The 21,037-nt window shown below is 36.4% G+C and overlaps 1 protein-coding gene across 15 annotated transcripts in view; it reads left to right on the top strand.

Moving 5' to 3' along the window:
• The window catches only part of ARL6IP6 (ARF like GTPase 6 interacting protein 6), a 44,749-nt gene that overhangs the window by 12,898 nt on the left and 10,814 nt on the right, over positions 1-21,037 (top strand). For 8 of the 15 annotated variants that reach the window (NR_146422.2, NR_024526.3, NR_146424.2 and 5 more), the window contains one exon: positions 4,449-4,581. Coding sequence is in view for 3 of the 15 variants with exons in the window: in NM_152522.7 (NP_689735.1) it covers positions 4,449-4,581 (133 nt within the window). In the remaining 12 variants the exon portion in view is untranslated. Of the gene's footprint in view, positions 1-1,985; positions 2,036-4,448; positions 4,582-21,037 lie in introns of those variants that run through there. The other 7 variants (NR_146425.2, NR_146427.2, NR_146430.2 and 4 more) reach the window with 4 other exon arrangements.

Consider the following 21,037-nt stretch of genomic DNA (forward strand, 5'->3'; position numbering starts at 1 on the left):
TTTTACCCTCTATCCTGATAGATTGGTAGGAAGGTTATTCTAAGGTTCTGTTCACCCAATTCCAGGTTGGGTTGAGGTGCTAGAGGTGGATACTGTGCCAGGATATTGGGGTGAAGGTGCAGACTAATCCTCAAGACATTTGCTATAGTGAGTATTGAAGTATCTTTTATTGTGGTCAGGATGGTGTTTCAGATGTGGCAACTTCCAGCCACATGACCATGTGGTGTTTCTATGCCAGGCTTAGGGCAGAGGCATCTGCAGGCTTGGCTCTGTACTTACCTACCAAGATACTGTACACAGCTATACTCCCTGTGTGGTTTTGCATGGGCTTTTCTAGATGCTTTTGTCAGGAAGCCCCAGTAGCACTACTCCCTTTCCCCATTTACACACATAAGTGCAAACATGCATACAACCTACTTTATTTAAACTAAGGAAATCTTTCTCACTTGTCGATAAGCCCCTCACTCTCTCCCTGTTCCACACAAACATTTTATCTGTACTCCAATCAACTCATTGTCTTTGCTGTGCATTCAAGACATATTGTGTTTATCCACACTCCTATCCCTGATTATATCTGTACACTGGTTTCTGTAAATATTGTGCAATGTAAAGTAGAAAAACAGGCTATTTCTTCTTTCTGCTTTGCCACATCCCTCTTCTGGAGAAATGAACACAGAGCCCATTAGCTCTTTAACAGGTGGGAGATGGGAGGAGGGAACTATCAGGAGATATAATTTACCACACTTTCTATTAATAATTCTTCTGAGTCTGTACTTTAACAGTTTTTTCAGTCTGTTACTGAGCTTCACAAGATTTACAAACAGTCCATTGCATGTACTTTTTACCTGCTTCTTGCTAAAATAAGACTGGTGGATAATTTGTATAGTCAGGAAATTTGATAATTCGTAAGTCATCTGCTAGGGTTCTCAACTCTTCCTGTATTCTTGAGGCATGGAACACACTCTCAGAAACCTGTTTTAAAGACGCAGTTTAAAAATGAGTCCACAAAGATTCTGATACGACCTCCTTGCTGCTCCTCTGTTCAAAAAGTACTACCTGACTGAATTTTTTTATTTTTTACAAATTTACTTAGTTCTATTTTGAATAGGTAGAATAGTCATATGGGTCAAAATTCAAAAAGTGTAAAAGAGTATAGACTGAAAAGGCTTACTCTTTTCTCCCAACCACTCTTTCCTCCCTCCTCAGAGAACCAATGTTAAATTCTTACATCCTTCCAGAAATTTTTTAAAATATCTAAGTACAATATACATTTCTTCATATATACAACATATGTATATATGTATGTGTATAATACATATTTTCCCCTTATTTATACAAATGCATAGAGCTGTTCTGAACTTTCAGTTTTTCAGCTCACCAGTATATTTTCAGGATCTTTCCATATCAGTACCTAAAGAGCTTCCTCATTCATTTTTATAGCTGCATAGTATTCTATTGTATGGATGTACTTAATTAACCAATCCTTTACCTTCATTACTGATAATTTAGGTTGTTTTCAATCTATGTTATTATGAACAAAGCTACAGAGAACAATCTTGTATATACATCATTTTATACAGGTTTGTATAATATACAAAGGTATATATATATAAAATTGTATATTATAATATACAGAGATATATTGTCCTAAAGACATATAAAGTTACTGGAGTAAAGAACATATATGTGCATCATTTTAACAGATACTGCCAAACTGCTCTCCATAGAAATTAAAACAATTTACTCTCCAAAACAGCCATGCATGAAGAGTTTCTGTTTATTCACAGCCTCAGCATCAGAGAATGTTATCCAACTTTTTGATTTTTGTCAGTTGATGAAAAAATGATACCTAATTTCTCTGATTATTAATGGTATTGAATTGAGCATCTGTTCATGTTTTAACATTTGTAGTTTTTATTCTGCAATTGCATTTAACTTTATATTTGGATTTTGGATTGCTGGTCTTTTTTTTTATTGGCTTCTAGGAATTATCTGTATTAGCAGGAAATTTTCCCTTATGCTGTAAGTTGCAAAGGTATGTTTTATTTAAAAATTTTTTGTCATTCAATTTGACATTTTATTTTGCTATGCATATATAGTAATATGTGTGTTTACCTATATACAGTTGTCCCTCAGTATCCATGAGGAATTGGTTCCAGGACCCCCTCTGGATACCAAAATCTGGATCCTCAAGTCCTTTATATGAAATTGGATAGTATTTGTATATGACCTATGCACATCCTCCCATTTACTCTCTCTAATACCTAATATAATGTAAATGTTATGTAAATAGTTGTTATACTGTATTGGTTTTGATTGGCATTATTTTTATTGTTGTATTGTTACTTTTTTTTTTTCCAAATATTTTTCATCCAAGGTTGGTTGAATTCCAGATACGGAACTTGTGGATAGGAAGGGCTGACTGTATATAGTTGAAATTCTGTGTCTTATATGAGTCTTGAATTTTTGTATCATGGTTAGAAAGGTCTTTATCTCTCCAAGGCTATAAATGACTTTTCCAGTTTTTCCAATGATTGCTTCTACAACTTTATATTTAGATTATTTGGTACGTTTTAGAATTTAGTCTGGTATAGGGTATCTGGTATGGATCTAACTTCTTTTCCTTTTTGTAAGTGGTCACCCCATTGAATTAGTAACATTTTTTATTAATCTATTTGGGCCTTCTTCCGAATCTTGTGTTCTGCTTCGTTCTGTTGTTTGTTTGTTTGTTTGTTTTTGAGAAAGAGTCTCACTCTGTCACCCAGGCTGGAGTGCAGTGGTGCTGTCTTTGCTCACTGTAACCTATGCCTCTGGATTCAAGTGATTCTCCTGCCTCAGTCTCCCAAGTAGCTGGGATTACAGTCATGCACCACCATGCCCAGCTAATTTTTGTATTTTTAGTAGAGGTGGTTTCACCGTGTTGGCCAGATTGGTCTCAAACTCTTGGCCTCAAGTAATCCTCTTGCTTCAGCCTCCCAAAGTGCTGGGATTACTGGCATGAGCCACCACGCCCGGCCCTGTCGTCTATTTGTATATCAGTACACACCGTTTTAGGTATTCAGTTCCTATACTATTTCAATATTTGGTTGGACTAGTCTCTATTTTTGCTTATTATTTCATGTCAATTTTAGAATTAACTATTATTCTTCCAAGAAAAATATGCTTACATTTTCCATCTGAATTCTGATGTTACCTCCTTAAAGTGGTAACATCTTATTTATTCAAAATAGTTATCACAATATATAGTTATCTTGTTAATTTACTTACATGTTTTATTATCTTCCTATCCCACTAGAATTACTTCATGAAGACAGCAATCTTTTTTATTTTGCTCATCCCTATATCCCCATTACCTAGCACAATAACCAACACATAGTAGCCCCTCAATATAGATTGAGTGGGTGAATAAGTGAGTTAATTTATAAAATTTTTGAAAACTTGACATCAAAATAAAGCTGTACTTCTTACTAAAGGGAGTTGACCACTTAAATATCAGTATTTCCTGTCTTCCTATAACCACAAGAAGAAGTCATTATCCTTTTATTATTATTAATGGGTTATGAATAGTATCCAAAAACCTTTAAATTAGCTTACTCCTTTCTTTTCCCTTTATGCCTCCTATTCTTCTCAACCGTTTTTCCTTAAGTCCATTATAATATTGTTCTTTTGACTTGACTTCTGTGAGAAAATACAGTTCCAAACTCAGTGCGAATAAAATCTAAGGTCCCACACATTTGTAAATCAGGAGTCAACTTTTGTTCATATACTGAGCAAGGTTAAAGAATCAGAATAGGTTTATAATGTTCATAAGAAAACTGTAAAGAGGGGATACCCCCAAATTGAGGCAAGTTTCAAAAGTGCATGGCGTGGAATGAAAGGAATCACTTAGTACTAAATAATAAAGATAGCAAGGTATGATTTATGAAATTAAATGAAAAATCTGATGAACTTTTTTTCTTTTTCGAAGCGGGGTTTCACTCTGTCTCCCAGGCTGGAGTGCAGTGGTGCAATCTAGGCACACTGCAACCTCAAACTCCTGGCCCCAAACCATCCTCCCACCTCAGTCTCCCAAAACACTGTGATTGCAGGCATGAGCCACCTTGTCTGGCCTCAAGACATCTTAAGAGTCTTGTGAAATGTTTTGACCATGTTTTCTGTAGTTGAATTTTATAAAACTGAAGATGTTATGTTCTTGTTGAATTTACCCTTTTTTCCCACGTATTATCATTTAATTAAAATATTCAATGATATGACTTCTAGTTGTGCTTTAGTAATGTACACTTATTTCTACATAAGTTAGCTTGCAATAAGTTCAAATCTCTTAAAATATCAGATCCATATAATTTAGAAGATGAGAAATATACATGATCTGAACATGAGAGTACTGGTTTAATTTAAATTGTTTTGGTGTTAATAATGTACTTTTTCCCCTCTCTTTTCCTGTTAAGGATTCTGGACTCTACTTATAATATCCCTAACTGCTGGATTCTCCTGTTGCAGCTTTTCTTGGACAGTGACTTACTTTGATTCTTTTGAACCAGGAATGTTTCCTCCTACTCCTCTTTCACCTGCCAGGTTCAAGTAAGTATTCCTGTTTCCTGTTTCTTTTTTAAATGCATTTCAACTCTTGAAAATACTAAAATACTCAGAAGCAAGAGGCTGATCGTGAGGTATGTTGAGGTTTCAGTCTTTATAAAGCACTAATAACAGGACTTTTCAGCTTGTAGGCTCAGCCTTTAGATACATGAGAATAATATTTAAAATTCTATATCTAGATAATGCTTTTTTTTCTAAAAACTGAAATTCAGGGGCTTATTTCACAAGTAAGAACCTTTGATGGCTATTTGTCCTTTTGGAATAGAATTTGATTTAAAACAGTTTATAAAGGCAAAATTAATACCAACAATTTGAAAGTTTTACTAGGTTCACACATGGTCAGACTTACAAGAACATAATAATTGGATTGGACTTTTCCTTAGGATTTTAACTTTGTGTAATAATTAGCAAACATTTATGGTACCCAATTTATATGTCTAGACCAGATTGGATGCTTTTCGTAGTGGAACAGTATTAAATTTCTTTGGTCTATATTTTCCATGTTTCAGAGAATTTTAGAAAATTCAGTAGTGTTCTAACCTAGTTTATTCATGCCAGGAAAGTTCCAATTTTAAATATAAATTCCGAAATAAGAACATCTAAGATCTCTAGTTTATTCTGGAAATTTGGGGAGGACATGAAGACAAGAAACTAAATTATATTAAATTTATGTATGTTATTCTAATACTTACTATTGTTACTACCAGGTCTAGCCTACCTCATGGACAGGTTGTAGAGATAAAAACATTTACTTGAGAGACTTTATAAAATCAAAATTGTGCTAGTATAGTTATTAATAATCATTGGTACTACTGGCCTTCATTATTAGTAAACTCCCAATTTTTTTTGTCTCATATCTTTTAAAATTTTGGCTCGACTTCAAATGAAATGTGAATTTGTATATATGTGTATTATGTATATGTATACATTTTTAGTGTTTTAATCCCTATGTGTATATGAAATGTAAGTCATATGCTTTCCAATAAATTTTAGTTATGTGTTTTTGAGGTGGATAAACAATAATCTAAATTGACTAAGAGTTAAGCCTAACATTACAATGCCATCCCGTAGTTTACATGGGTACCACTCAATTAGAAGTTTACTTTAATAACAGGTATAAGTCTAGGGTAATGAGACTCGTTTCAAAAAAATCACCAAAAAAGTAATCGTATTTTTTCCTTTTATTTATATCTCACTTCCCTGAATTCTAGCCACACATTTCTTGCTGTTTAATAGACCTTGCTACCCAGATTTCAGAAAGCATTTTGCACTTAGAGTGATTAAAACTCTGTCTTTGCTTTGAAGCCATCAATATCCACCCATTTCACTCACCAGAGCTTGAAATTCTTATTCATTGTATTTGTCTATTCACCAAGTCCAGTCCTTCCTGACTTTTTAAATGTCATTAGAATGCTTCCTGTTTGCATTTTCACTGTTTTTGTACTATTTAAGGCTAGTGTACTTGACTTCTTGGCCTTCTGTCCTCTAAGTTCTCACTCTTCTAATTCACTCTATATACAGTCAGCCCTCTGTATCCATGGGCTCCACATCCTTGAATTCAGCCAACCATGGATAAAAAATATTTGGGAAAAAAATTACAATACAACAATAAAAAGTAATACAAATAAAAAACAGTATAGACAACTATTTACACAGCATTTACTTTATATTAGGCATTATAAGTAATCTAGAGATGATTTAAAGTATAGGGGAGGATGTGCATACGTTATAGGCTAATACCATGCCATTTTATATAAGGGACTTGAACATTCATGGATTTTGGTGTTTGTGGGAATCCTGGAACCAATCTCCCAGTGGATACCAAGGTGCAACTGAACTGCTGTCTTTCCATTAACAAAAAGAGATACAGTCACAGCCCTCTATTGGTTAAAAGCCTTCAGTAGCTTTCCTGTTGCCTTCAGAATAAAGTCCAACTCTTAAGTATAGCAGAACAGTCCTTCCCCAAATGACCCTACCCTACTTTTCCAACCTCAGCTATTTCCCTACTGCACCCTATATTGTAGTCACATACCAGATTAGCTTGACATCCCCCTCATAAACTATGCAATTTTGAGAAGTCATGATTTTACTCTTGCTGTTCTCTCTCCCTGGATTATCATTTTCCCTTTCATGTTGTCTTTTACCACTGTCACGATTCATTAACCTTATAAGTGTAAGAAGCCTCTGGGGTTAGAGAAGGTTTTAGTATTCTGTTAAAGATCTGCTATTCTGAGGGCATTTAACTAATTTTAAAAAAAATTATCTTTGCATTTTGTATTAAATTAGAATCAATTTAATAAAGGGCCTCAATTTTCCATGTATTTATTAATGTATTAGTCTGTTCTCATGCTGTCTAATAAACACATACCCAAGACTGGGTAATTTATAAAGGAAAGAGTTTTAATTGACTCACAGTTCCACATGGCTGGGGAGGCCTCACAATTATGGTAGAAGGCCAAGGAGGAACAAAGGCACATCTTATATGATGGCAGGCAAGAGACTGTGCAGGGGAACTGCTCTTTATAAAACTGTCAGATCTTGTGAAACTCACTCACTATTATGAGAACAGCAGCATGGGGGTAACCACCCCCATAATTTAATTACCTCCCACACGGTCCCTCCCACAACACATGGGAATTATGGGAACTGCAATTCAAGATGAGATTTGGGTGGGGCACAGCCAAACCATGTCATTCTGCCCCTGACCTCTCCCAAATCTCATGTCCTCACCTTTCAAAACCAATCATGCCTTCCCAACAGTCCCCCAAATTTCAGCATTAACTCATAAGTCCACAGTCCCAGGTCTCATCTGAGACAAGGAAAGTCCCTTCTGCCTATGAGCCTGTAAAATTAAAAGCAGGTTAATTACTTCCAAGATAACAATGGCGGTACAAGCACTGTAAATACACCCATTCCAAATGGGATAAATTGGCCAAAACAAAGGGGCTACAGGCCCATGCAAGTCCGAAATTCAGTAGGGCAGTCAAATCTTAAAGCTCCAAAATGATCTCCTTTGACTCCGTATCTCACATCCAGGTCACACTGATGAAAGAGGTGGGTTTCCATGATGTTGGGCAGCTCTGCCCCTGTGGCTTTGCAGGGTACAGCCTCCCTCCTGGCTGCTTTCACAGGCTGGCATTGAGAGTCTGCAGCTTTTCCAGGCACATAGTGCAAGCTGTCAGTGGATCTACTGTTCTGATGGCCCTCTTCTCACAGCTCCACTAGGTAGTTCCCCCGTGGGGACTTTGTGTGGGGGCTCCCACCCCACATTTCCCTTCTGCACTGCCCTAGCAGAGAGGTTCTCCATGAGGGCTCCACCCCTATAGCACACCTCTACCTGAACATCTAGGCGTTTCCATACATCCTCTGAAATCTAGGTGGAAGTTGCCAGACCTCAGTTCTTGACTTCTGTGCACCTGCAGTCCCAACACCACATGTAAGCCACCAAGGCTTGGGGTTTGCACCCTCTGAAGCAACAGTGTACATTGACCCCTTTTAGCCACGCCTGGGACACAGGGTACCAAGTCCTGAGACTGCACAAAGCAGCAAGGCCCATGAAACCATTTTTTTCTCATAGGCCTCCCAGCTTGTGATGGGAGAGGCTGCTGGGAAGACCTCTGACATGCCCTGGAGACATTTTCCCCATTGTCTTGGCAATTAACATTTGGCTCCTCATTATTTCTGCAAATTGCTACAGCTGGCTTGAATTTTGCCTCAGAAAATTGTTTTTTCTTTTCTGTCACATAGTCAGGCTGCAAATTTTCTGAGCTTTTATGCTTTTCTTCCCTTTTAAACATAAGTTCCAATTCCAAACCATGTTTTTGTGAATGAATAAAACTGAATGCTTTTTTTTTTTTGGGAGATGGAGTCTTGCTCTGTCACCCAGGCTGGAGTGCAGTGGCGTGATCTTGGCTCACTGCAAGCTCCGCCTCCTGGGTTCATGCCATTCTCCTGCCTCAGCCTCCTGAGTAGCTGGGACTACAGGCGCCCACCACCACGCCCGGCTAATTTTTTTTTGTATTTTTAGTAGAGACGGGGTTTCACCATGTTAGCCAGGATGGTCTCGATCTCCTGACCTCGTGATCCGCCCACCTTGGCCTCCCAAAGTACTGGGATTACAGGCGTGAGCCACCGCACCCAGCCAAAACTGAATGCTTTTAAGAGCACCCAAGTCAACTCTTGAGTGCTTTGCTGCTTAGAAATTTATTCCACCAGATACCCTAAATCATCTCTCTCAAGTTCGAAGTTCCACAGATCTCTAGAGCAGGGGCAGAATGCTCCCAGTCTCTTTGCTAAAGCATAGCAAAAATCACCTTTGCTGCTCCAGTTCCCAATAAGTTCCTCATCTCTGTTGGAGACCACCTCAACCTGGACTTCATTGTCCATATCAAGATCGGCATTTTGGTCAAAGCCATTCAGCAAGTCTCTAGGAAGTTGCAAACTTTCCCACATTTTCCTGTCTTCTTCTGCACCCTCCAAACTATTTCAACCTCTCCCTGTTACCTAGTTCCAAAGTTACTCCCACATTTTCAGGTATGTTTACAGCAGCAACCCGCTCTACCGGTACCAATTTACTGTATTAATCTGTTCTCACACTGTTAATAAAGATATACCTGAGACTGGGTAATTTATAAAGGAAAGAGGTTTAATTGACTCACAGTTCCACATGGCAGGGGAGGCCTAACAATCATGGCAAAAGGCAAAGGAGGAGCAAAGGCACATCTTACATGGCAGCAGGCAAGAGAGCATGTGCAGAGGAACTGCCCTTTATAAAACCATCAGGTCTCAAGAGACTCACACACTATTAGTGGAACAGCCACATGGGGGTAACCACCCCCATGATTCAATTACCTCCCACCAGGTCCCTCCCATGACGTGGGGATTATGAGAACTGCAATTCAGGATGAGATTTGGGTGGGGACACAGTCAAACCATATCAATTAGTAATTAGCATTTTTTGTTTTTGGGTTTTTTGAGACAAGGTCTGGTTTGGTTCTGTTATCCAGGCTGGAGTGCAGTGGCATGATCTTGGCTCAGTGCAACCTCCACCTCCCAGGCTCAAGTGATCCTCCTGCCTCCACCCTCTAATAAGCTGGGACTGTAGGTGTGTCAGCATGTCAAATAATTTTTTTATTTTTTGTAGAGACAGGATTTTGCCATGTGCCCAGGCTGGTCCCAAAACCCTGAGTTCAAGCAGCCTGCCCACCTTGGCCTCTCAAAGTGCTGGGATTACAGGCATGAGCCACTGCACCCAGCCTAGTGATCCAGTTTTAATATGAAATGGTGTCATATTAGAGCCTTAGATTATGTACTTATTAATAAATCTAAAAATGGTTTTGAAATGTATATAAAATATATGTTGTGTATGCACAAATGAATACAAAATATAAAATATAAAATATACACATTCATTTCTATACATACAAAATTTAGATGTGTATATATATTTGTGTATGTGTATATATTTGTATATAAATAGAATATATACACATTATAAATGTGTATAAATACAAAATAATGCATATATATATTATGTAGTCCTAGCTACTGGGAGGCTGAGGCAAAAGGATTGCTTGAGCCCAGGAGTTTATTATACAAAATAATGTGTATATACATTTTGTATTTGTACAAAATAATGTGTACATGTATACAAATATAAATGATATATATACCCAAATATAAGTGAAATATTTACACACACACACAAATACAAATGAAGTTGTTTTATAGTCAAAACCCTGCCCTCTAGTGTTTATGGAAAATATGCCGTTATTTCAGAAATGTCAGATTAAGTATATTCTCTATGTCACCAGTAGAGTGAGTCCTTGTACAGGGAAACAACTTCTCCACATTTTGAGAAAGTTGAAATCTTCAGACTTTTATTTTCTTCAAAATCAAATTGATATATTTTATCAATATGCGACATCATACTTTTATAAAAATATCTTTGTGACAGGTTATGTATTTTATCACCTAAAATAAGCAATAATATTAATGTAAGCATTTTTCCTAATTATATAAAAGTAATTCAGATTCTTTATTGAAAATTCCAAAAAAGAAAAAGAAAAATGGAAATAATCAAGGAAAATTACTGCTGACATTTTAACATATATTTTTCCATTCTTTATGCATATTTTAAAAATTGAAATTGGGATCACAATGTATATACTTTTTTGTAAGAGAGTAAAATAAATCATATATAACTGGTTTGTTAAAATAGTAGTCTTTTGCTATCTCTGCAGACTTAAGTACCTGGGTTTTTTTTTTTTTAACAGAATAGTTGAAGTGGGAAAACCATTTGAGAAGACCATATTTACTGTGACTATCAATTGTGTTTCCTTAGAAACAAACCCCTCAGAGGAAGAAAAAAAGTAACATTTATTACTGTTTAGTAAATATTAGGTGACATATTTAATGAAATCATCAGTTTGGGTCAATAATTCATAAGAAGAGGTTGAGATTAGAAATAAAAGCATTTTCCTTTATTCAAATTTTTTATGTTTACTGTTATATATTAGATAAATCTTAGCAATTTTCACTTTTACGTAAGCACAAGATGTTTAGGAAATACAAGATAGAGAACTTTGCAAGATATATTTCCAGATAGGTACTTAATGGACTTCAACAGGCATATTTTTTGGAAAGATGGTTCCATGTATTTGTAAACTTCGCTAAGTCAAAAGGTATAGTGCAATATCACATATATAAACTTGTCAATTAGTAAGCTATCCTTTTCTTTGTGTATTTAATCCAGTAGACTGGATGGAAAGTCTTGTTTTGGTTGTTATTAAAGGTTTGTTAACAGTGTTAAAGAACAAGAGGCAGAGGCAGTAAGTTTAGATTTTTTGGAATATCTAAATAGGCATTCCCATGTTTCACTATGTTATAATTCATTATCCTGCTTCTTCTACACTACCTACTCAACATCTCCAGTTCATTTCTCATCACTTTTCCCTGTTCATTGTCTGGGTTTTGTGAGTGATTTCCAAGAGACAAATGTAACAGTGTATATATAGTCAGTATTTTAACATTTTGGTTATCAGCTTTAATTATAGTTTTCAGGAGTTAATGCATCTAACTATGTTACCTACCCGTGGAAAAATACTGCATGCAAAGAAAAGCTAGAACTCTAAAGATAATCGTGGGCTGGGCATGGTGGCTTATGCCTGTAATCGCAGCACTTTGGGAGGCCAAGGTGGGAGGATGGCTTGAGCCTAGAAGTTTGAGACCATCCTAGTCAACATAGTGAGATGCTGCCTCTACAAAAAATTTTAAAAAGTATCCAGGTGTGGTGAAATGAGCCTGTATTCCTAGCCACTGGGAGGCTGAGGCAGAAGGATTGTTTGATCCCAGGAGTTGAAGGCTGCAGTGAGCTATTATATCGTGCCACTGCATTCCAGCCTCAGTGACAGAGCAAGATACGCTCTTTAAAAAAAAAAAAAAAAAAAAAAAGAACTTTGGGGTTCATTCTAGGCTTGGCCATTGGCAGCAGAACTTTAAAGTCCTCTTGATTGGGAAAATGTTAGTTATGGATACCAGCTGTGCCTTACAGTACATTTTCCTGAACAAGTCTACCTTTTAAGCTAATATTCTAGGATTTCTAGGGATGTCTTAAGAGAGTCCTATTAAACATTATGGGGGAACTAATGCCCTCCTAAGCCACCCATCTCGTAGGTGTTACTATTAGTCTGGTGTTTCCATTTTTTAATAGATGAAGAAACCAAGTCTCAGAAGTTTAAGCCACTTGCACAAAGTCAAGTAATTTGCAAGTAACATAGTTTGCAACTGACTGTTTATTTTTATTCACCATACTAGCTAACTTACCTCCTCTGCATTATGAAATTCATCATCAATAGGAGGAATTTCACTAATTGAAACAGCATCATTTTATTGACAATTAACAGGCACTCTGAGCTTTTGCTATGTGGCAGTTTTGCCCCCACAGTATTGCTAAATCAAAAGACTTTCTCTGTCTTTTCCATTGTTTTCTCCTAGTACCTGTATTCCACTTTAAGACTGCACTCCACGGTTCACATCACCTATGCTCAAGCTTCATCTAGTGGTGAAAGTATGTAGCTGCAGGTTAATAGTTATTCAGTGTGCTAGAAATAAAAACCACTCTGATAATAAATGTCACATCTAGGATAGAAATGTTACTCTATAGTAATAAGCTTAGTGGAAAAATGATAACATGAGTGATGGGTCGTATTGCTGACATGAAAAAATGTTCACTATTTAGATCAAACGTCAAATTTAACAGCATATACTCAAATAACCTTCACAGTAGGACATTAACATTGTAGGAATGTAAAACAACCTGGGGATTCCAAAATAAGTCATTCTTGGCAAGTAAAGTTGGTTTATTAATTTTAAGTCTAGTTAATTTGTATAACCTAAGCATACAGAGTAAAGTGGCAAGCGCCCCTAGCATGTAATGATTTCCGTAGCTGAAATCATTGTGAAGGGAGTTACTATGCCAAGGAAGCTCCTTAATAGGACTATTATTTTATGCTAAAGATATCCATAGATATTTATTTCCAAGGAGGAAAAAAAATCAATGCTTGTATTTAAAGTTGTGAGGATAGTTCAACTATATAAATGGAAATAAAGTACTGCTGGAAATTTCAAATTGCAAGCTTATGCTGATCAAAGGTATATAAAAGTAAGATTTCTGGTGAATTGGATATCTGAATCCAAAGCTTGGATTGTTGAATCATCCAGTGAGAAACTGATTTTAAATAATTTTCTCTCTGTTTTGAGAAATGCTATAGAAATAGCATGTCTTGCAGTCACAGCATTGTAGTTTTTGGAGCATGTCTCAGTTCTTAAATCTTCAGTTGACTTCTATGCTAAGAGATTTCTTATCCTGAATCTTACAAGTGAACATGAGTCTTTTTGAGGCATAGATTGAATTGTTTTGAAAAGAAATCTCCACCTTGAGTATAACTCTGTTCAGTTTAATGACCTCGAACATCTATGTTTATGCTAAAAATATTTTTGAAAGGCATGATTTAAAATTTTCCTAGATAGCTTTTAAAAGAGACCAAAACCTTCAAAGTCATCTCACAGATAGTCATTTTGAATTACCAGAAGTCAAACAAAATTATTATATTTTTATCATAACTAGACTCAGTTTTAAGCTACAGTATTCTTCAGGTGTCCTTTGAATAATTACATTTGTGCATTTCCTAGGCAGATTGGAAGACACAGTTGAATGTCTATTTTATAGAAGTCAGCATGAATTTACTCTTACATTTTTAGAGAAATTTGAAGTTTGGTATCTTCTCTTTAGATATATTATTGGTTGTATTTATGGCTTATTTGATATAGGGTTCATGGCCAAAATGCAGGGAAACTTCAGTTATTAGTGTTATATCATGATTTCTAGGCATATGCCAAGGTAAAGAGTGGTGTCTTTTTTTCACAAATGCCTGCTAAAATATAATCTATGAGATTAGATTGGGAATTTGCATTATTTCACAGTTAATATACAAATCAGCGGGTATCTGCTACCTTCCTCATGCTATCAATCTTTATTGTCTGATCACTATGAATTATCCATCTTTCCATTTCTTCTTCTTCCAACCACAAATAACATTTGATAAATATCCAGACACTCAATTTTAGAAAACATGCTTTTAATTTAATTTTTATTTAATGTAACATTATTTATATGCATCCTTGTTTAAAAAAATTGTATTGCCTTACAATGCAATCTGGAATCTGCAAAATAAATTGTAAGTGAGAAAGAAAAGGGAACAAGTTAATTTTAGTTTGAATTAATTTTTGGTAAATTGTTTTTAGTAACTATTTTAGAGAGTAACATGATCTATTACTCTTTTACATGTGTTACTTCCTATGTAAAGCGTTCTGTATGTAATTAGATGCTAACATTTGTGTGTGAGAGTGTGTTGTTAACTGTAGTAGGGAGCAGCAGATAGTAAAATACTTTGACATGTGAATTTCCTGGAACATTCAGGATTCAGTATTGGCATCCTGTATTATAATGTTACTTTTCTATTCAACATTAGTTTGGGTCTTTAAAATATTGTTATTAGGGTTTTTCTCTGACGTCTTCACATTGAGGGTTAGGAAGATAGAGAACAAATAAAACAGTTGAATCATAATATGCAATTCAAGAAAAGGGAACAAGTTGATTTTTGTTTGAATTGCTTGAAATTTGAAATTTCCAGCAGCACTCAGTTTTCTTTAATACAGTTAGCCTATCCTCATAACTAAATACAAGCACTGATTTTCCCTCCTTGGAAATAAGTATATGTGGACATCTTTAGCATAAAATAATATACGAGTGTTACAGGTTCTTAACTTGGGCATATATATAAGCCTTGGAGGTCAAAAACAGTGGGTTAGTTAGTATTCAAATTAGAAATTTCTTTTCCATGCAGACTAGATTTAACATTGAGCACAGTGAATTGACTCTACTACTCTTTGATACAGATTTTGGAGAGCTGCCTCTTTGTCGAATCAGATTCTTTATTGCCATGAACTAATGAAACAGATGTCAGATGGCTAATTGCAGTAGGAGAGAAAAGCTACTGACAAAAGAGATGGTTCAGGAACTTGGCCTTGATATTTGAGTATCATGAAATCTCATTATCTGGGGACTATTCAGAGCCATCAATTACAGTGCTGTCACTATTAATGAATATATTGATGGCATTGCACCGCGGCTTCTTGAAGTAAAGGGTTAAAGTACATGCATATTGTGTAAGATATATTTCATTACTGTTCTGAATGGAGATATGCATAGATATAACAAAATCCTCTAGGAAATTGTATTAACTATTGGTTTTATTGTTTCCATAAAGTGATACAGCTAATGAGTGCTTGCTTTGTACCTTTTTTTTTTTTTTTTTTTTTTTTTTTTTTTTTAAAGACAGGTTCTCACTTTGTTGCCCAGGCTAGATAGCAGTGGCATGATCTTGGGTGACTGCAACCTTTGCCTTCTGGGCTGAAGCGATCCTCCCACCTCAGACTGCTGAGTAGCTGGGACCACAGACATGCGCCACCACATCTGGCTAATCTGGCTAATTTTTGTATTTTTTATAGAGACGGGGTTTTGCCATGTTGCCCTAGCTGGTCTCGAACTCCTGGGTTCAAGTGATCCACCTGCCTCGGCCTCCCAAAGTGCTGGGATTACAGGCATGAGCCACCTTGCCCAGCTGCTCTTGCTTGTGCTATTTACAGTGTTATATATGAGTAGCTGAAGAGGGACAAGTGTCCATATGCCCAGAGCAATACTGACAAGAAATACTTGAGAGACAGTGCTTGCCAATTTTGTACTTGGAACCCTTTTTGTTTGTTTAACAACCTATAAATTACCAGAGGCAGCCTGATATAATTAAAAAGGGTCTTGAAGTCAGGAGAGGTAGCTTCCAAATCCAACCTACCCTAGCAGAAGGACATTTGAGCAAGTCAGTTAGTATATCCAAGCTATAACTTCCTCATCTCTAAAATGGAGTAAAAATAATGGTACCCTCATAGGCAGTAAGTGTAAGTTTACTAAAGCAACAGATACGTCAGATGATAAAGCAGACATAGTGTCAGAGGTTTTCTTTTCTTAAGGTTTTTTGAGCTGGAAGTCTGACCATGGCCTGCCACAAGTTGCCAGTTATCTTTTCTTGGATAATTGTTATTTATCCTGAGATTTTATCCTTTCTTTTTTTTTTTTTTTTTTTTTTTTGAGGTCTTGCTTTGTTGCCCCAGGCCGAAGTGCAGAGTGGCACAATCATGGCTCACTGCAGCCTCAACTGCCTGGGCTCAAACAACCCTCCTGCCTCCGCCTCCCAAATTGCTGGGACTACAGGCGAGTGCTGCTATGCCTGGCTAAATTTTTTATTTTTATTTTGTAGAGATAGGGTCTCACTAAGTTGCCCAGGACAGTCTTGAACTCCTGAGCTCAAGCAATCCTCCTGGCCTAGTCTCCCAAGGCACTGGGATTACAGGCGTGAGCCACCACGCCCAGCCAACAACTAATTGTTAATATTATCTCATTTAGTTTTAATAAGAACACTAATGAAAGGAATTATTATCCTCATTTTAAAGATTGAGAATTAGATTTTCTGGTAGGTTAAAATAGTTCTGTGACTAGTACAGCCATGACTAAACTCCAGTGAGGAGAGAGCTAGCTTTCCAGGTCTTTCATTCTGATCATATTAAACAATTGAGCTTCCTATTCTCTCCATTGTCTCTTGCTTCTGCGCATACTGTTAGGTGTTTAGAACACTAAATCCCTCATACTCAATTTTAGTTCAGGTATTAGCTCTTCTTTGGAATTTTTTCTCCCCTTCTACAAGCTGAATGGCTCCTTTATGTTCCAGTAATACTGCCTGCAAAACAATCTACTACGTCACAAGATTCTGTTATCTTCGAAGGCAGTACTGACTCCTTACTCATTTCTCTCTCTTTTTTTTTTTCCTTTTTTTGTTGGTTTGAGATAGTCTCACTCTGTCACCCAGGCTGGAGTGCAGTGGCATGATCTTGGCTCACTGCAACCTCCACCCGCTGGGTTCAAGCAATTCTCCTGCCTCAGCCTCCAGAGGAGCTAGGATTACAGGCCACCACACCCAACTAAGTTTTTGTATTTTTAGTAGAGATGGGGTTTCACCATGTTGGCCAGGCTGGTCTCAAACTCCTGGCTTCAAGTGATCCACCCGCCTTGGCCTCCCAAAGTGCTAGGATTGCAGGCGTGAGCCACCATGCCTGGCCAAAATTTTTTTTGTAGAAACAATGTCTCCCTATATGCTCAGGCTGGTCTGGAATCCCTGACCTCAAGCCATCCTCCTGCCTCAGCCTTCCAAAGTGTTGGGATTACTGGCATGAGTCACCGCATCCAGCCCTACTAATTTCTCTATCTCCTGTATGTAATTTAATACCTGATACCGAGTATTCTGTAAATCTTGGTGAATGAAAAGGGAATTGAGAAAGTTATAAAGAACTTTAGAGTAAAAAGTAAGAGGCAAAGTCATGTGTGTTATTTTTTCCTTAAGGAGAGACATAGCAAAGAAGTGAAATTAGGGAAGCATTCTCTTTAAAATTCTAACCCTGATTTCTTAAATAACAATGGTCAAGTTCATTGAAATCAACTTTGTCTGCTCTTCAGCAATTTCTAACAAGTAATTTTTAGGACAAAAGGATATAATAAAGTTAATGTAGTTTTACGTTTCTAAAAAGGAAATGCTTTTTAAGTTAATAAAATACGGTGTTGCTTGTTTTTTTGTTTTGTTTTGTTTTCCAAGTTTCAGGTTTAGTGTTAAGATCTTTTGATTCCAGATAAAGAACTAACTGATAGTAACTCCAAACAAAGCTTATACAGCTTAAAAACTTTTAGCAATTGGAGATTCCTGGGCTAGGGATAGAATGAGAAAACAAAGGCAGCTCAGATGTGTGAAAGGGGAATAGATTAGTACCATCTTGCTCATCCCTTCTCCCTCTGAGCCAATCAGACACAGAAACGAATAGCCAGTTGGGTCTTAAGATGGGCCTTTAACATATCTTCTTATTCTGGCAAGCACAGAGCGCTTTCTGCTTAAAGCAGTATCAGCTGGAAATGAAGTTATTATTTTAAATTACAAGAGTTCTGTCATAAAAGCATCTCTGACATGTGGGAATACCTGTGTGGGAAAGAAAATACAGGAATAAATATGGCATGGAACAATTATTCTAACAGAGTGGAGTCTGGTGTTTAGTATTGTAGTATAGAGATTCAGTTCAGATCAACCAAAACTAGCATAAAAACAATAAACAACCTGAAACATGACAAGAGACCTGCTCAGTTCTGTTATTCTGTCTCTAACTTTTTCTTTTTAAGGTAATTTATTTGGAATTTTTGGAAGTTGCTTATTCAGTGCTTTAATTTATGCTTCAAAATATAAGAATGTAGTCACTTAAATTGCCAAAGTCATTGAATTCATTTGAATCTTATATTTTAAATGTATTCCATTCCTGAAAAATGAAAATAATTATAATTCTTTTATAATATATTCACTTTGCAAGTTACTATTTAATAGTAATCTAAATATATTGCTAGACATTATATTTTCACAGAACAAAGTCTAGATATAAATAATGGAAGTCTGGGTTCTCCAGTGAATTATAAAAGAAGTCGTTATGTAGGAAGAGGGTAATATCAAGCAGAAACACACACACAAAAACACACACACACACACACACACGCACGCACGCGAGAGAGACCTTTAATTCTCCCATTTCTTTCTTCCATCTACTTCTTGGGTTTGCTTTTATACTACTATTGTTTGTTTCTTTGTTTTGGTTTTAAAGCAAGCTTAGGTTTAGGTGTTTTACTTGGAAGGGAGAATCTAAGTAGATGGTCAGAAGAATTTTTAAAAATCTCTTCTGTACCTAAGTTTCTTTACTATATAGCTAAGATGTATTGATCATTTACTATGTGCCAGACACCTGGTATTCACAACAGCTTTGTAAGGGTAGATTCTATTTTTGTTTCCATTGTATGGAGAAGAAAATTGAAGGTCAAAGAGGTCAAACAATGTTGCCATCTTCATACCCCTTGTAAGAGGCAAGGCTGGCACTCAGACCCGTGTTTATCTAATCATAGAGCTTGAACTCTTAACCACTATCAGGGACTACATAAGTACTTCATTGTAGAATTTTTTATTATTGAAAGGAATTCTCTAGAACCAGAAAAAGGTCATACCTTCTATATAGCTTATCTTTCAGGATATGGAAGTAGATCTAAAGAAACGTTCTGGTTTTGCCATTGGGTACTCTATTTTACTACTTATTCTTTCATATGGTCAAATGAAGAGTCACATCTTAACAATGTTGATTTAGCAGGTTAAATTATATCCATTAATTTTCATCATAGATAGGTCTCCTTAATTGACTCTTTGGGACTAAAATATTTATATCCTCTGCATCATTGTTCTAGTTTTAAGTACAGGTAATGTTGACCAATAACCTGTTTTAATAGGTAAAAAACTGTACATAATCTTTTTGAGGTGTTTTTTAGGATTATTTCTTGCTACCTGGGATACTTACAGAAATGTAGAACTGAGACCGAGCGCAGTGGCTCACGCCTGTATCCCAGCACTTTGGGAGTGCTGGGTGGATCACCTGAGGTTAGGAGTTCCAGACCAGCCTGGCCAACATGGTGAAACCCCATCTCTACTAAAAATACAAAAATTAGCTGGGCATGGTGACACGTGTGTTTGTGACCCCAGCTACTTGGAAGGCTGAGGCATGAGAATCGTTTGAACCTGAAAGGCGGAGGTTGCAGTGAGCCAAGATCACACCACTGCACTCCAGACCAGGTGACAGAGCAAGACTCTGTCCAAAAAAAAAAAAAAAGAGAGAGAGAGAGAGAAAGGAAGGGAGGGAGGGCGGAAGGAAGGAAATGGAAGGAAATAGAAGCGACCTTAGGTTCATCTGGTCCAGTTTTTCTCCTGAGAAGCATGAAATCTTAAGTTGGAGTTCCACTTCTGGTTCTTTTCTTTCCCTTTACACAATGTACCTCTTTTGTCTGTCAGTCCATTGCTGTACCTTTTAAAACCTGGGTTAAAGCTTGTATCATTAAGGAAACTTAACCTTGTTAATAATATTGTGTGCTCTGCTCGTTTACATTTTATATCCAGTTAACACAAAAGCATTTTAAAGCAAAGGAATGTTTTAGGAAAATTCATCTGTGCAATGTATTTAAGTACATGGAGAGAATGTCAGCAACTTAGAATTTCTTTGTGAATTTGTTTTAACCTGTCACATTCGTATATGCAAATAATAATTGTAGTAACATCTCCACAAATAGTCATGCCATTTTCAAAAATATATAAGCCTTGTAAATTTTGAAGTAAAATGGAAGGTCTTCAAAGTGAAACATTTCTATGATGTTGCCATGAAACCGTGGGATTTTTTTTCTTGTTTTTTTCTTTTACCTCATTCAGTAATGCAGTTTTATCTACTACCCACTTTTGAAGTTTGGCAGTATTAATAATAAATAATGCTGTAGTTTTACTTGAATGGAAATTTTTTAATTTTTATCTGATCAAGTTTCCCACGTTTGACTTTTTTTTTATTTTTAGTTGACACATAATAATCATATTCATTAGTGGAATACAGAATGAATGATAGTCCCATACAATGTGTAATGATCAAATCAGGCTAATTAGCATATCCATCACTGAAAACATTTATCATTTCTTTGTATTGTGAGCATTCAAAATCTTCTCTTAAAGCTTTCTGAAAATACGCAATAAGTTACTGTTAACCATATTTACCCTAAAGTGCTATAGAACACTAGAAGTCATTCCTCCTATCTGATCGTAATTTTGTATCCGTTAACTAACCTCCTGCTATCCTCTCTCACCCCACCCACTGCTGTTTCTTCCCCGGCTACCCCACCACCCTTCTCAACCTCGAATAACCACAGTTCTACCTTCTACTTCTA

This window comes from Homo sapiens, chromosome 2, assembly GCF_000001405.40.
Source record: "Homo sapiens chromosome 2, GRCh38.p14 Primary Assembly".
NCBI classification, from domain to species: Eukaryota; Metazoa; Chordata; class Mammalia; order Primates; family Hominidae; genus Homo; species Homo sapiens.